The sequence below is a fragment of the Homo sapiens genome, chromosome 5 (assembly GCF_000001405.40).
Source record: "Homo sapiens chromosome 5, GRCh38.p14 Primary Assembly".
Lineage (NCBI taxonomy): Eukaryota > Metazoa > Chordata > Mammalia > Primates > Hominidae > Homo > Homo sapiens.
In genome coordinates this window covers 72,846,757-72,861,048 of record NC_000005.10, presented here as the reverse complement: position 1 = coordinate 72,861,048, position 14,292 = coordinate 72,846,757, and the positions used below count along the sequence as shown (strand labels likewise).

At 38.0% G+C, this 14,292-nt stretch overlaps 1 protein-coding gene across 10 annotated transcripts in view, besides 3 other annotated features; it reads right to left on the bottom strand.

Moving 5' to 3' along the window:
• The window catches only part of TNPO1 (transportin 1), a 97,728-nt gene that overhangs the window by 53,340 nt on the left and 30,096 nt on the right, over positions 1-14,292 (bottom strand). For 4 of the 10 annotated variants that reach the window (NM_001364292.3, NM_002270.4, XM_005248501.3 and 1 more), the window contains exons 2-4: positions 12,551-12,664; positions 9,730-9,805; positions 5,126-5,275 (exon numbers count right to left, since the gene is read on the bottom strand). In NM_001364292.3, the coding sequence (NP_001351221.1) occupies positions 5,126-5,275; positions 9,730-9,805; positions 12,551-12,655 (331 nt within the window). In that variant the 5' untranslated portion in view covers positions 12,656-12,664. Of the gene's footprint in view, positions 1-5,125; positions 5,276-9,729; positions 9,806-12,550; positions 12,665-12,797; positions 12,911-14,292 lie in introns of those variants that run through there. The other 6 variants (NM_153188.4, NM_001364294.3, NM_001364296.2 and 3 more) reach the window with 3 other exon arrangements.
• Positions 11,861-12,040: an enhancer, noted in NCBI's record as "active region_22656". NCBI's record gives its function as "activates an Ori minimal core promoter by ATAC-STARR-seq in GM12878 lymphoblastoid cells {active_cell/tissue: GM12878}" and the evidence as "EXISTENCE:reporter gene assay evidence [ECO:0000049][PMID:35858748]".
• Positions 12,151-12,490: a silencer, noted in NCBI's record as "silent region_16085". NCBI's record gives its function as "represses an Ori minimal core promoter by ATAC-STARR-seq in GM12878 lymphoblastoid cells {active_cell/tissue: GM12878}" and the evidence as "EXISTENCE:reporter gene assay evidence [ECO:0000049][PMID:35858748]".
• Positions 12,841-13,080: an enhancer, noted in NCBI's record as "active region_22655". NCBI's record gives its function as "activates an Ori minimal core promoter by ATAC-STARR-seq in GM12878 lymphoblastoid cells {active_cell/tissue: GM12878}" and the evidence as "EXISTENCE:reporter gene assay evidence [ECO:0000049][PMID:35858748]".

The following is a 14,292-nucleotide window of genomic DNA, read 5'->3' as shown; positions in this document are numbered from 1 at the left end:
CTCAGCTACTCAGGAGGCTGAGGCAGGAGAATCGCTTGAACCCGGGAGGCGGAGGTTGCAGTGAGCCGAGATCACGCCACTGCACTCCAGTCTGGGCAACAAGAACGAAATTCTGTCTCAAAAAAAAAAAAAAATTCTAATTTATCCATACAAAAGAGTAGAAAGAAAATATGCCAAAACGTTAGCAGCACTTAACACTGGGTGATAAACTTATGAGTCTGTTAGGTTCAAATAAAAGACACATTAAGAAGCTAAAAATAGCTCCCTGACTTAATCTGGAACCAGAGCCAAGGACCATGGTAGGAAAAACTTAAGCAGATGAGTATCACTTGAGAATAATCCTGTATGTTTCACTGCTTACAACACTCTCCCTCATGTAGGCAGGCTACATACTCCTACAACAGTTCCCACTTACTGGATCAAGAATGAGTCGCCAGAAAGGCGATCTTCGAGGCTGGGTGGCCCATGCTCACTGATCATGTTGTTCTGACTGAATGGATTATCTCAACTGTGTTATGCAGTAGAGTTGTGATAGTCAATGAATTATGCAAATACACACAAATGTAAGGAAAGTTTTGTGTTAACACAAACACAAGGACAACAGAAAGGTTTCGTGTTAATATTTTTTTCTGCCTTAGTAAACATATTAGTGATATAATATGCTTAGTGATTATGGATCTTTTAGTGCCAGAAGAGTATAAGCTCTGACAATAGGCAAATTATATGCATTCTAAGCTGCAAAATATGAGTGTACAAAAATGAAAAAAGAAAACTCTTCATAGGGTTATTTTGAAAATTCAATTGGATATATAGAAAATGCCTGGCATCTAGTAAACACTCAATGACTATCACTGAACAGCAAATATCACCATGTGTATAAATTTTCTACCTTTAGTTCTGAGAAGGTTGCTCTCAATGATAAAGAACTAAAAAAGAATCTAGAAAGTAAAGCTCCCGGCAAATTTATTCTCCACACACAAAAAAATTAAATTGTATAGTAAGAATTAATGTACTGATAGCATTTTCAAGATATAGCCCTTACAATAAAATAGCCTTCCATTAAGATCCAAAAGCAGCAAGATCTGATCGTTCCTGCAAATTAGTCTTTCCTAAAGTTAAAATATAAAAGAAATAAGGGAATGAGCAAGATCTGGATCTGTCTAAAAGAAACCAAGCATAACTTAATATTTCTCAGTATTTATAACAAATACGGGAATGAAATCAGTGTGCTTGGCAACACCTATTAAAATCTTAAAAATGTTTAAACACACTTTGACCCAATAATGCCAAATACACAAATTAATCCTATAGAAATCTTCCTGTAATTGTACAAACATACACAAGAGAATATTCATTGAAATAATAAAATTACAAACAAACTGTATACTCTCTAAACAAGAGAAACATCTTTACTTCATCTGATGAATTACCCCACAGTCATTCAGATGTGGTCCCTTCCAAATAGACTTCCTTGATAAGATTCCCAACATGTATTGTTAAGGTTAATAAAAATTTTAAAAGCCAAAGCTGCTAGTCTATTTTTATAATCAGTAATCTTTTAATTAAAATATTTAAATATTGTATATATTATTAGTAGATGCTAAGAAATACAAAAATAACACATGGTCCTTTCCCTCAAGGAGCTCAGTCAGGCACTCCCTGACCCCAACACGTGGCATGGTCTAGAGACATTTTTGGTTGCTACAGCAGGGTATGTGGCTGCTGCTGGTATCCAGTGGGTAGAGGTCAGGTGTGCTGATTAACATCCTGTAGTGCACAGACAAAATAGCCCAACAACAAAGAATTATCCAGTCCAAAATGTCAAGTGCTGAGGTTGGAAAACTCTGGTCTAGAGGAACAGAGTCCTACATCAACTGATAATGTAGAGTCAGAGTACTTGCACTACTATACATATACCAAGAATTTTCTGTGAAGGTTAGTAAGTGATGAAGAGTCTGTTGCCAATTCTTAGAGATGATTTTCAGAAACTCCAAAAAATTATTTCACTTAAAAATATGTTCCTAGAAGTGTTTTAAATCTTTTTCTCATGTAAACTAAGATTAGGCAATTTGGGTGATTAAAAAAAAAAAAAAAACCTTCCCAGATTTGTTGGAAAGCACCAATGTGTTTAAATAACTCATCAATTTTCCTGAAGCAAAACAAACAAAACAACAACAAAACTATAAAATACTTTAGAGTCTTTTTTTTTTTTGAGACGGAGTCTCACTCTGTCATCCAGGCTGGAGTGCAATGGCGCGATCCTGGCTCACTGCAAGCTCCGCCTCCCGGGTTCATGCCATTCTCCTGCCTCAGCCTCCAGAGTAGCTGGGACTACAGGTGCCCACCACCACACCCGGATAATTTTTTGTATTTTTAGTAGAGACGGGGTTTCACCATGTTAGCCAGGATGGTTTCGATCTCCTGACCTCGTGATCCGCCCACCTTGGCCTCCCAAAGTGCTGGGATTACAGGCATGAGCCACCGCACCTGGCCAATACTTTAGTCTTAATGCTGTGCCCCCAAAATAATTTCTCCCCTCTTTGGGAAGAATCTGTCAATCATACTTTCCACCACCTTCACTAATACATATCAAAAAGTGGGGTGGAGGTGGGTGTGAAGGCAGGAGGGACAAAAACGAACTCATTTTTAGCTAACTTATTTCAAGCTCATAGCTGTTTTATCTAGTTAATATTACAGACTTTTTAAAATAGAAAATTTCACATACATATATAAAAATAGAAAAATATAATGAACTAAATGTATCCATTAACTAGCTTCAGCAGTCATTAATACATGGTCAATCTTGTTTCATCCATACTTCTACCCACAACCACCTTCACATTCCTAATTGCTTTTTTATCAAATCCTAGACATCATGTCATTTGAAAATACACTGCAGTTATGTTTGAAGCTCCTTCATCTGTAGTAAAGCAACTAAATAAAAGCTGTTTCTATACTGAAAACTGCAGTGGTCCCTCACAATTAGAATACTTAAGTATCTACTTAACATAAACTAAAATGAAAGACCTTTCGTATTCTACTAATACACAGCAAGAAATAAAAATGCCTACATAAGTCAATTTCACCAATCTCTGTTTTAAAATAAGTCAGATGATACCTAAGTGCTTAAATAATTCCAAAGATAAAGTCAGCTCCTAAACATGTTCAAAAACCTTATGGAAGGTGAAAGTACTCATTAGGAGATAAAACCAATTCTTCTCTCCCTAGTATTATTACTTCTAACCTTTCAAATTTAAAGACACAGAGTATTGTAGTTTGAACCAAATGGCACTTAAAGATAGGTTTATAATGAAATACAGTTTAGGAAGAAACAATCTCATAACTCGTTTCTATATCCTCTCCTTTCCTTTCAGCTGAGTTGCCAACACTCAGAGGAAACCCACCTTCCTTCTAAATTCCATTCCACTTACGTATGGAGATTTCTCTCCTGGATCCGAAATGGAAAAGGCTGGCACACGCTCACCATTCTTTTTAACAGTGTCAAGAGTAGGTAAAGCCTTAAGGTACGTAAGAGTACATTAGAGTAATCTAGGGAGTTCTTTTTCTCAAACCACAAATGTCCTCTACCCATCAAATGTAAAATCAGTGTCAATGATGGCACTGTTTAATACAAGAATATCTGCAGGGAGGTCATAGAGCCAATGCTTTGTAAGTAAGAGATAAATATTTTTCAAACCCACAAGACAAAACAGGAACTCTTTTTTTTTTTTTGAGACAGATTTTCGCTCGTCACCCAGGCTGCAGTGCAATGGCGTGATCTCAGCTTACTGCAACCTGCACCTCCCGGGTTCAAGCAATTTTCCTGCCTCAGGCTCCCAAGTAGCTGGGATTACAAGCACACGCCACCACACCTGGCTAATTTTTTTGTATTTTTAGTAGAGACAGGGTTTTACCATGTCAGGCTGGTCTCGAACTCCTGACCTCAGGTGATCCATCCGCCTCAGCCTCCCAAAGTGCTGGGATTACAGCGTGAGCCATCGTGCCCAGTCAGGAACTCTTAATGAAAGCATCTGACTCATTTAACGGACTTTCATTTAACCAGCCTGGGTAGATTAACAGAAGCTTTCCAGGTCCTTGTAGAAGTTAGCTGCTTAAGCCCATGGTATACTAAAGGCTGCCCATTAGTACGCTCCTCTTCAGTATGGCTATTTATTACTGCTTCCATTGGTTGGCAAATTGTGTTAACCAATAGCCAGTTGTGTGTGTTTCCAAATAGATTTATACGAGTTACTATAATTAAGCATGTTAATTCAGTATTACATAAGCTAACAGAAAGTTGTACTGCCCCTGAAAATAAGCTGAACGCTCTGAAAAGACTAAAAAGTTGCTGCTGAATTACTGACAAGGCTTATATTTAAAAACAAGGGAGAAAATAGTAAAAATCTAGAATCCTATATACACTTAGGTTTTTCATAAGCAATTAAAAAGTATTTCTTCACATGTAAAAGTGAAACAAGAAATTATGCATCATGCTAGGCAGAAAATAGGAACTCCAAGCCAGGCGCCATGGCTCAGGCCTGTAATCTCAGCACTTTGGGAGGCTGAGGCAGGCGGATCACCTGAGGTCAGGAGTTATAGACCAGCCTGGCCAACATGGTAAAACCCTGTCTCTACTAAAAAGTACAAAAATTAGCCAGGCATGGTGGCGGGTGCCTGTAATCACAGCTACTCGGGAGGCTGAGGCAGGAGAATCGCTTGAATCCAGGAGGCAGAGGTTGCAGTGAGTCAAGATTGTGCCACTGTACCCCAGCCTGGGCAACAGAGACTGCTTCAAAAAAAAACAAAAAAACAAACAGAACTCTAATCTGCATGCTCAAGAAAAAGTAGTGTCCGCAAATTAATATCACTTGTTGATGCCCCATTTTAACCAACTCTGATTAGGCTAAGTTTGATCAGGCTCTCCTCTTATCCAGGGTCACTAGTTTCACTGGATGAGAGCGCTTTTACCATGATTACACCATTTCAAAAGCATTTAAAGGCAATGAAAGTTTCCCCAACACAATTTAACATGAAACAGACAAAAATTCCTAAGGAAATAATCTGTCATCTCTAAAAATGACCCAGTTACAAACAAAGTAAGCAAAACTGTTGTAATATAACTTACCAACAGTGGCTCTAATCAGAGGAGAGGAGTCACCAATATTATTTAAACATTCACTTTTAATAAAGTCTGTTACACCATTTGGGAAGTTCTGAAAGTGTGCTTTCACATTATTCTTCAAGATAAGACCACTCAATGATCTTGTGGGTTCATCTGTAATAAAATAGTAATAGTAATGAGTTTTGAAGTAGTCTTAATTTCAAAATGTGCCGATAAGTTTTAAAAACATTTATATTCAAAAGTTGATTGACATTCAAACTTGCTATAACCAGTTAAAATAATTATAACTGATTAACAAAAGATTAGCTCTATCATTTATAGCTCAGGGTTTTTCAACCTTGACATACTGACAATTATTTGTTGGAGGGTGCTGTCCTGTGCATTTTAAGATGTTAAGTAGCATCATCAGCCACAGATGCCAGCAGCACCCCTCCAAGTTGTGTTAACCAAAAATGTTTCCAGATAATGTCAAATGTTTTCTGGGGGTTAAAATTGCCAGTGGTTGAGAACCACTGATTTAAGAGTTAATTTCGTTTATATATATGGCCACTGTGCTCAAGCTTTATTGTTTCCTGATATACACATCATTATAGAGCTGGAAGTACTAGTCTTAAACATATCCTATTAAAATTTTGTTGCTGGTTTTTTTTTTTAAGGCTGGGCGTGGTGGTTCATGCCTGTAATCCCAGCACTTTGGAAGGCCAGGAGTTCGAGACCAGACCGGCCTACATGGTGAAACCCCGTATCTACTAAAAACCCCCAAATTAGCCAGGCATGGTGGTGTGTGCCTTTAATCCAAGCTGCTTGGGAGGCGGAGGCAGGAGAATCACTTGAACTCAGAAGGCAGAGGCTGCAAGCAGAGAAGCCAAGATCATGCCACTACACTCCAGCCCAGGCGACAGAGTGAGACTGTCTCAAAAACAAAAAAAAAATTTTTTGAAATCATTTTCCTCCAGTGTCAAAAAAATATAATATTGAAAAATTAAGTGGACAAAGAATATATAAGACCTTCATGTAACAAATATAATTGCTGTTAATTTATATCATGTTTTTCATTTGCCTCTGAACTTAAAAGCAAAAAAATACCTCCAAAAACATTTAAAAAGAGTTTTCTTAAAATAAGTTTAATCCATAGATAGTATTTACAAATTTTCAAAAAGCTACTTAATACTAGTAGAACATAACTGACGGCTTTACCAGTTGGCATCAACACCAACAATATTAGCAATAGTTAACATCTTCGAAATGCTTATGATTTATTAAACATTGCTAAGTGCTTTCCAAGTGGCACTGCACTTAATCCTTACAACTTCATGAGGCAGGTATTATTCACCCCATTGCACAAGTGAAGAAACTAAGGACTTTGAATCATTCTTCAGTATTACCCCCACTCAAAGGGCTATAAGATGAAGAGCTGGCATGTTGAACAGAATGTTATTGTAAAACCATTGTTTTACCCGTCTTATTAAAAAATAATATATCCCAAGCTTGTTCTAGTTAGTATGATGTTCCCAAACTCTGAATGGCACTGAAATCTTCAAGAGTGAAGCAACATGTAGAGGCAAAAAGAGCAGTTTCTCTGCACACAAACTTCATTCAGGTCATCACAGCACTATAAAACCTTGTATGTCATCATTTAAAAACTACTTTCCATTTTCAATTACAACCCATTGCGAGACTCCGTCTCAAACCAAAACAAAACAAACAAAAATACCTTTAAATTCTCTTAAAAGTTAAAAACTGCCATGAAATAAATGAAGCCAGATATTTAACTTCTTTAAGCAATAAACTTGCCTTAAATTACCTGTTAATAATTCAGCCATATAATTATTTTAAATGGCATGACTTTGTTTACGAGAAATATAGTATATTGTTTTTACCATAAAGGTTACAAGATGAAGAATTTTAATAAACCACAACATGAGGTGAAACAATTCAATATTAAAAGTATATACTCTCTTAAAATCCATTTAAAAAATTCAACGACTAACGATTTCCTTTGTTTTACAAAAATTAAGACTACTTCAGTGTACCCTCAATTTGTTCATTTGTAAAGTGAGATAATTAGAGCAGCTGATCTGAGATCTCTTACAGATCAAAAATTTTACTCTACAATTCAGTGATAAGATTACTACATAAGCATTTTCATTTAAGATGTTACTTGTATTGCTGCTTTAATATGAACAGCCATGATGCAAAGATTTTTTTAAAATGGAAAACTACATGCAGCAAACTTGTGTCCCAATCTTCCCAGGGAAAAAAAAAAATGCATAAACACAAGAAGAAATATCAAGTGTTACACCAACGTAAAACTACTGCATCCTCAGAGAAACTGCATAATGAACATAAGAAACACATTTTAGGGTCAAGAAAATCTGAATAAAATCCTTTCCAACATTTTATGGTTTTGTAATTAATGTCTTTGTGGAAGCAATGACTTCCAAACCCTCTTGCCACTACTTAACAAGTTGTGTGTTTGTGTTTTTTTAAGTACTTCTGAAGCACTTAAGTACACTGGAGTGCAGTGGCACGATCACAGCTCACTGTAGCCTTGACCTCCTGAGCTCAGGTGATCCTCCCACCTCAGCCTCCTGAGTAGCGGGACCACAGGTGTGTGCCACTATGCCAGCTAATTTTTACAGAGATGGAGTTTCACCATTCACTATGTTGCTGATCTTGAACTCCTTGCCTGAAGCAATCTTCCTGCTTTGGCCTCTCAAAGTGCTGGGATTACAGGCGTGAGCCACCTTGCCTGGCCTGAGGTATCCTTATATCCCAAGAAAGAGCCACCTTGCCTGGCCTGAAGGAAGTATCCTTATATCCCAAGAAAGCTGTACTCAAGAGTATAATATTGTAACAATCCTAATATTTGGAATGTAGGATAAGAACATGAGAGTGGACAGCTTAGTGAAAATAAATTTAAAAATTTCAAATAAAACAATTAGATTTAAAAAATCCATTTATAAATATCTTAGTATAAGAAACAAACAGGTTGATCACAAACTGTCAGAAAAATTTCTATATTAAGAAGCAATGTATCGCAAATATCAAACTAGGAATATTAATTGTTGAAATAATTCTTAGTTTCTTAAAACCTAGACTTAAGAGTTCTAAATTTTCTATTGTGTCCTTCATTCACAAATTAAAATCCCCCAAATTAACTACAAAATCAACTGAAAATAATTCAAAAGAAATCACCGTGCAAGAATTATGAAAATCTGAATACAAATCAGTGAGTTTTTACTACACAATAACACTATTAACCTGTCAGAATTTGGAGCTGAAACTTTACAGATGGTCTGGTTGTCTAAACCTTGTTATTTCCCAATTCCAAGTGCAGTGATTTTATTAATTGCACCATGGCTTCTAAAACACTAATCACTGAATAGGGTACAGCGCTTTCATTTAGAGGCCAATCAGTTGCGCAATAAATATTTAATTGACTTCTATGTGTCCACAATGTTTCAGGGAGGGAATACCCAAATAATGCTATGAGAAACAACTCTCACTACAACGTAAGCTCCTTGAGGGCAGTGATTTTTGTCTGTTTTGTTCACCTTTCTCTCCTGAGCCTGTAAATTGCATGGCAGAGATGGCGCTCCATAAATATTTATGAAATAATGTCTAGTGGGATGCGTTACATATTATTAGAAATAATCAAATGACCATGTTATTTAAAAATCAGACTACTCAGGCTTTAAACTGTCATAGAAATCATTTAAATTTAAAATTAAGAGTCATGAAAAAGTTTCATGTAGACTTTTAGAAGTTTTTTAAAAAGTTACAAAAGTCTACTTATCAATAGAATGATCCCACTTTTTGCTAAATAATTTTAAAATAGTATGTGACCATATAAGAGCAGAGAAGGATATAATTGAAGAGATCAACAATAATCATCTCTGGAAGATGGGATAAATAATTTTTCATTTTGATTATATGACCTTTCAATTTTTTTCTACAAAAAACACACATATTCAGTTATTAAAACCTACATTCAATCTTTGTATTACAACCTTTGTTATATCCATCTATATGCATGAAAGCAAAACATTAAAGTAGACTTTGCAACAAGTTTTTCATCTGCAAAGAATTAAGTAACTTATTATACAAACACCCTATTAAAAATGAATGCTGGCTGGGCACAGTGGCTCACACCTGCAATCCGAGCACTTTGGGAGACTGCGGCAGGCGAATCCCCAGAGGCCAGGAGTTCAAGGTTAGCCTGGCCAACAAGGCAAAACTCTGTCTCTACTAAAAATACAAAAAAATTAGCTGGATGTGATGGCGCATGCCTGTAATCCCGGCTACTAGGGAGGTTTGGCATGAGCATTGCTTGAACCCGGGAGGCAGATATTGTAGTGAGCCAAGATCGCACCACTGCACTCCAGCCTGGGTGATAGAGTGAGACTCTGTCTGTATATACATTAAAAAAAAGGAATTCTTATTAAACATGTAAATACTGAGTGGTATTAACTAAGACTGTTTATCCCACATCTATAAAGCACAAGGTTACTACAAAATGAAATCCTTTGAAATGAATAATTCTCAGTACATTTAAACAGGTCTTAAAGAAACTTTAAATAGTTATCAATACAAATCCTACTTACCTTCAGATTTTAATTTTGTAAGAACAAAAATCAAGTAGTTGTTAAAGTCTGGATACTGATTAAGTTGTTCCAGTTTCTAGAACAAACAGTAGTTAAGGAAACTTCTCTGTGTAATCTCAGGAAGAAATTAAGCATTTTAAATCTAAAAATCAAGGATCTCTTTGGTGGTATTTTCAGTCCTGCGTTTTTTTTTTAAACTAAGAATAAGGATATCTTACTAAATCTATCAACATCTATTTCAAAAACACGCTAGTGCTTGCTAAACCTCTTAGGTGCTTTATGGCTGAAATGTATCAATTACATGCAATACAACATAAGAAAGTTCCAGCTTCAGCATGCTCAATATAGCAAAAAATATTCAAAAAAATTCTTGGATTTCAACTTTAAACCATTCTAAATAGAAAGGTATTTAAGCATAAAATGACAAAAATAAAAGCATTCCAAATGAAAACAAGTCTTTCAGAGTTGAAGATCATTTAGAGAAATTAACTTTATAGAATAACTTTTAAAAAAAAGATACTTCTCAGACTCATTTGTTCTTTAGAATCCAAAAAGATAAAGTGCCATTTATGCACAAGGCTATATATCTTATTATAAAGTCAGCATTATGAGATTATTGCACTACAGCTGTACAATTCTTCCCCTCATCCCCAAGATGCAACATTTTTAGTGATACCAATTTGCAGGTATTTCATCGCTGTCGGGAGGCAGCTGTGACAAAATGCTCTATTACATCTTTCTTCAAGCCCTGACTCCCAACCCCTAACTAACATGCTTCCCAATTGTGTTTTACTACACAGAAAGATTAAAATGTTTTGTCACCCAACAAATCTAAATTTCTGATTAAATCCATGAATCAAACTCCAGTAACACTTTATTAGCTATTTATTACATATTTGAATACCCTCAATGTTTATGGGTCAGAAAGTAAACGAACCAACAACATAGTCTCTAGTAAAACTGCAAGGTGTAACTACTTTCTCCAACCAAGACAGTAATTCTTGTTTTAGTGAATGGCCCAGATTAACAACAAGCTGATATGCCAATGAATTTTTCAAAACTATTTCCTGATAAAGTTTACCTTTTTACAACTTAAGCTACATCTCTTTATCCTATTATAGCGGTCTTTCAAAAAGTACTCAAAAGCCTATACAAAATAATAATTAAATATATTATCTTCTTAGGAGAAACAAAATAAGGCACTCTGAAACAGCAGTATGTATTCTTAGCTAAAGTAGTTTTCCTCTCACAGCAACAGAAAGTTGTTCTTTCTCAGAGGACATACTAAGTTCCAGGCACACAGAATAAACTGTAAATTGACTACTTGCCCAAGCACGGTACTAAGCATTTATGAGGTACCTAATAAATGTAGACTAAAACAAGAAATTATGATATATGGTGCCACAGAATAACTACAATGCAGGATTGGGCTTAGCTAATTTAAGAAACTAGTAACTGTATCATATAATACCTGCAATTAATCAACTATCAACTTCTATCATCCCTAGAACTATGACAACACAAATTAAGACTGAGCCATAGCACTGTTTACAAGATACAAACGGCAATACATTCCAAAAGTGTTCTTTCCTCAGTACTAGAAGTATCCAAACAAAATGGCTTTAAAAAATCCAAGCAGATCTAAATCATTATCCCTTCCACTTTTAAATGGGAAGTACTACATTAACCAAGAAGGTAAGTACTAATTTTGTCATCTATTGAAGGTTTTAAATTACGGCAATGCAGTATTTCTGCGAAACCCTCGGGGTAAATAACTTCATCTTTACAGATGTTTTAAATGTAAATAAACTCAAACACGAAGAGCTTACTTACCAAACTCCATATTAAGTAATTTTGCTGCTTTTTGACAATAAAAATCAAGAGGCTTTTCTGCAAAAAATAGTAGACTTAACTAACTTCTTTAGGCTTAAAACGGGGGTTAAAAGGTTATTCATGATATAGAGTGAATGTTTCCTTTACTGCATCCAGTAAGAGCTCTCCATTTGAGCACGGTTTAGGGCACTACAGAAAGCATACGTGGTAGAGTTTTGGTTCTCTTAACCTTTCCTGTCTCTAAAACCGTAGCAACAGGATCACTACACCAGCACACTCGGTAAAGACCTACATAATTGTGCAGTCAGCCTTGAGCCAAAGCTTTAAAAAGAAAATCTCACTTGGGTGACAAGGAGTTCGCAACAGGTGTTAACACCAGTAACCCCAGGGTGAGGCACAGAGACCCCTTTCCCCCACCTGTAGGTCCCCAGCCTTTTTAGGGCAAGGACGTGGAAAAACCCCCAAGACCCACACAGCTGCAGTTCAAACCCCGCGCCAGCTCCACCCATTTCTGGCCAGTCAGGCGGCGAGCTCCGCCGCGCACAGAGCGCCCTCCACCCGGCCTCCCGCTCGGCCTGCCACCCCCACCCACGGGGCGCATTGTGTGGGCCCGGGCCGCTCCCGCCCGCCCGCTCCCTACCCCCGCGGCAGGTCAGCGGCGGGCGGGGACGTGGCGGCCCGGCCCGCGCACATGTCGCGATCCCGGGCGGCGGCCGGGGGCCCCCGCCTCCTGCGCGCCGGAAGCCGGTGGCCTTGGCGGCGTGAGCCCCACGCGGCGGCGCCCCCGGCCCAGGCACCAGGGCCGCGTGCGCGAGTCGCCCGGCAGGGGCAGCGGCGGCTTCCCCCGCGCCCGGACCCAGGGAGGAGGCCGGTCTCGGAGGATGGGGGAGGGGCAGAGGCGGAGGCGACGGGAGCCCCCGGCCGCCGGGGGCTGGGCCGCAGCGCGGGGCGAGCTGCGCGGGTGGCGGCCAGGCCTCGGAAAGGATACTTGTTGCACGGTTCTCTGGATGGTGGTGTCTGGGGACTGGGACTCCTTCAACAGCTGCAGGATTTGCTGAAGCCCTTGCTCGTCAGGTTTCCACTCATACTCCATCTTGGTTTGCTGCAAATAAAGCCAGACACAGGAAGAGACGGAGCAACTGTTACTCCCGGTGCACAGGCCCAGAGGCTTCCCGCGCGCAGCTGACCCGTTCTCCCCGCCACCACAACCCCAGCGCTCCCCAAACGCCGCGGACCTGCCTGAGGTGCCCCGAAGGAAGTCACGGACAGTGAAACCCGGCGGAACTGCTCCTGGCAGCCCGGCCGCCAGCGTCTGCTGCTGCTGCCGCCGCGGCCGCCGAGCGCAAGGAGCCGACCAGACTGAGTCACCGCGAATTTGCAATCTGGCCCCAAGATCCGCTCACGGGAGCCCCCTGGGTCCTAGTGCCACGCAGTTTTCTCCAACCCAACCCATCTCTAATTCCGTCCAGATTACTACTGACTTAAGGGCTAATAAAAAGTCAAGTCCTTATCAAAACCCCTGCGAAACACCTGAAGAGATCTGTTTTGGGTATATTATTTTACATACACATGGTGAATTAACGAAAAATGATTGAAATAGGGTAAAAAGGTTGTTAATTTCCCTGACAGTTCAGCAATAATTAGAAGCAATAAAAATGTTTACATTTCAATTTGATATATAAGGCACTAAAAAGTCTAAAATATTGATGCAGTCGCAACCCAGACCTCGAAAACCATTATATGCAACATTTGCAGAACTTGACTTAAAAAAAATTGCATTTCTGCATAAACTTCAACTTTTGAACTCCTATTAAGGGAAATAAATTCCATTATGAAATAACTACATTCCAAAAGTAAGGACTTTGGGTCGAAGGAAACACAATAAAAATGATGTAATTTTACAACTGGGTAGTGTTTAATTCCATTAAAGTATTTTCACATACTACATTTTCTCATTTGATTTTCATTACAACCTAGTGAGGTATTATTTGCCTCCATGTGGCAACTAAAGCTAAAAAAGATCTGAGCAAACAACCACACTTAATCAGTGAAGACTGAGACACGAATATAGGTTTTTAAAGCTACTATGAGTTGCATCTGCTACAGTCAACTGAAGCTATTAATGACATTTTTCACTAAAACTAAATGCTTAAACAAAAACAACAAAATGTAAGTATCAAGCATGACTTATTTGTAAAAACCAAACAGTTTGATAAAGGAGAGGATTTTTAACATGAAAAGTCCCTTGCTAGTAGGGGCTTAAAAAAACTACTACCTTTCCACCTCTCTAGTTAGCTTTTTCTTTCTTTTTAAAAATGCCTTTTCCTCTCTCTTTCACTCTTATTTTTCTGCTTAATAGCCTGTAATCTGACTTTGCTCACCAAGTTCTAATGACTTCGTAAATGGCCCAATCTAATAAACTGTTCTTAAACAAAAAAAAACTCAAAACAAAATCACCACCATCTGGACATAAAATGTATTAATACTGTAGTGCTTTTATTCTAGTCTTCATTCTATGTGTTTTTATGCACATTATATTTTATAATAATGGGATTGTCCTGTTTCTTGCCTGACTTCGTATATCATTAAATATTTATTGAAAATATTTCAATAAAAAGTGAATAGTATTCCATTGTACCACTGTCATTTTTATACACTTTTATTTGATACAATATAGACACAACATTGTACAAATGATAAGCATATGATCCATAGATGGATTTTTACAAA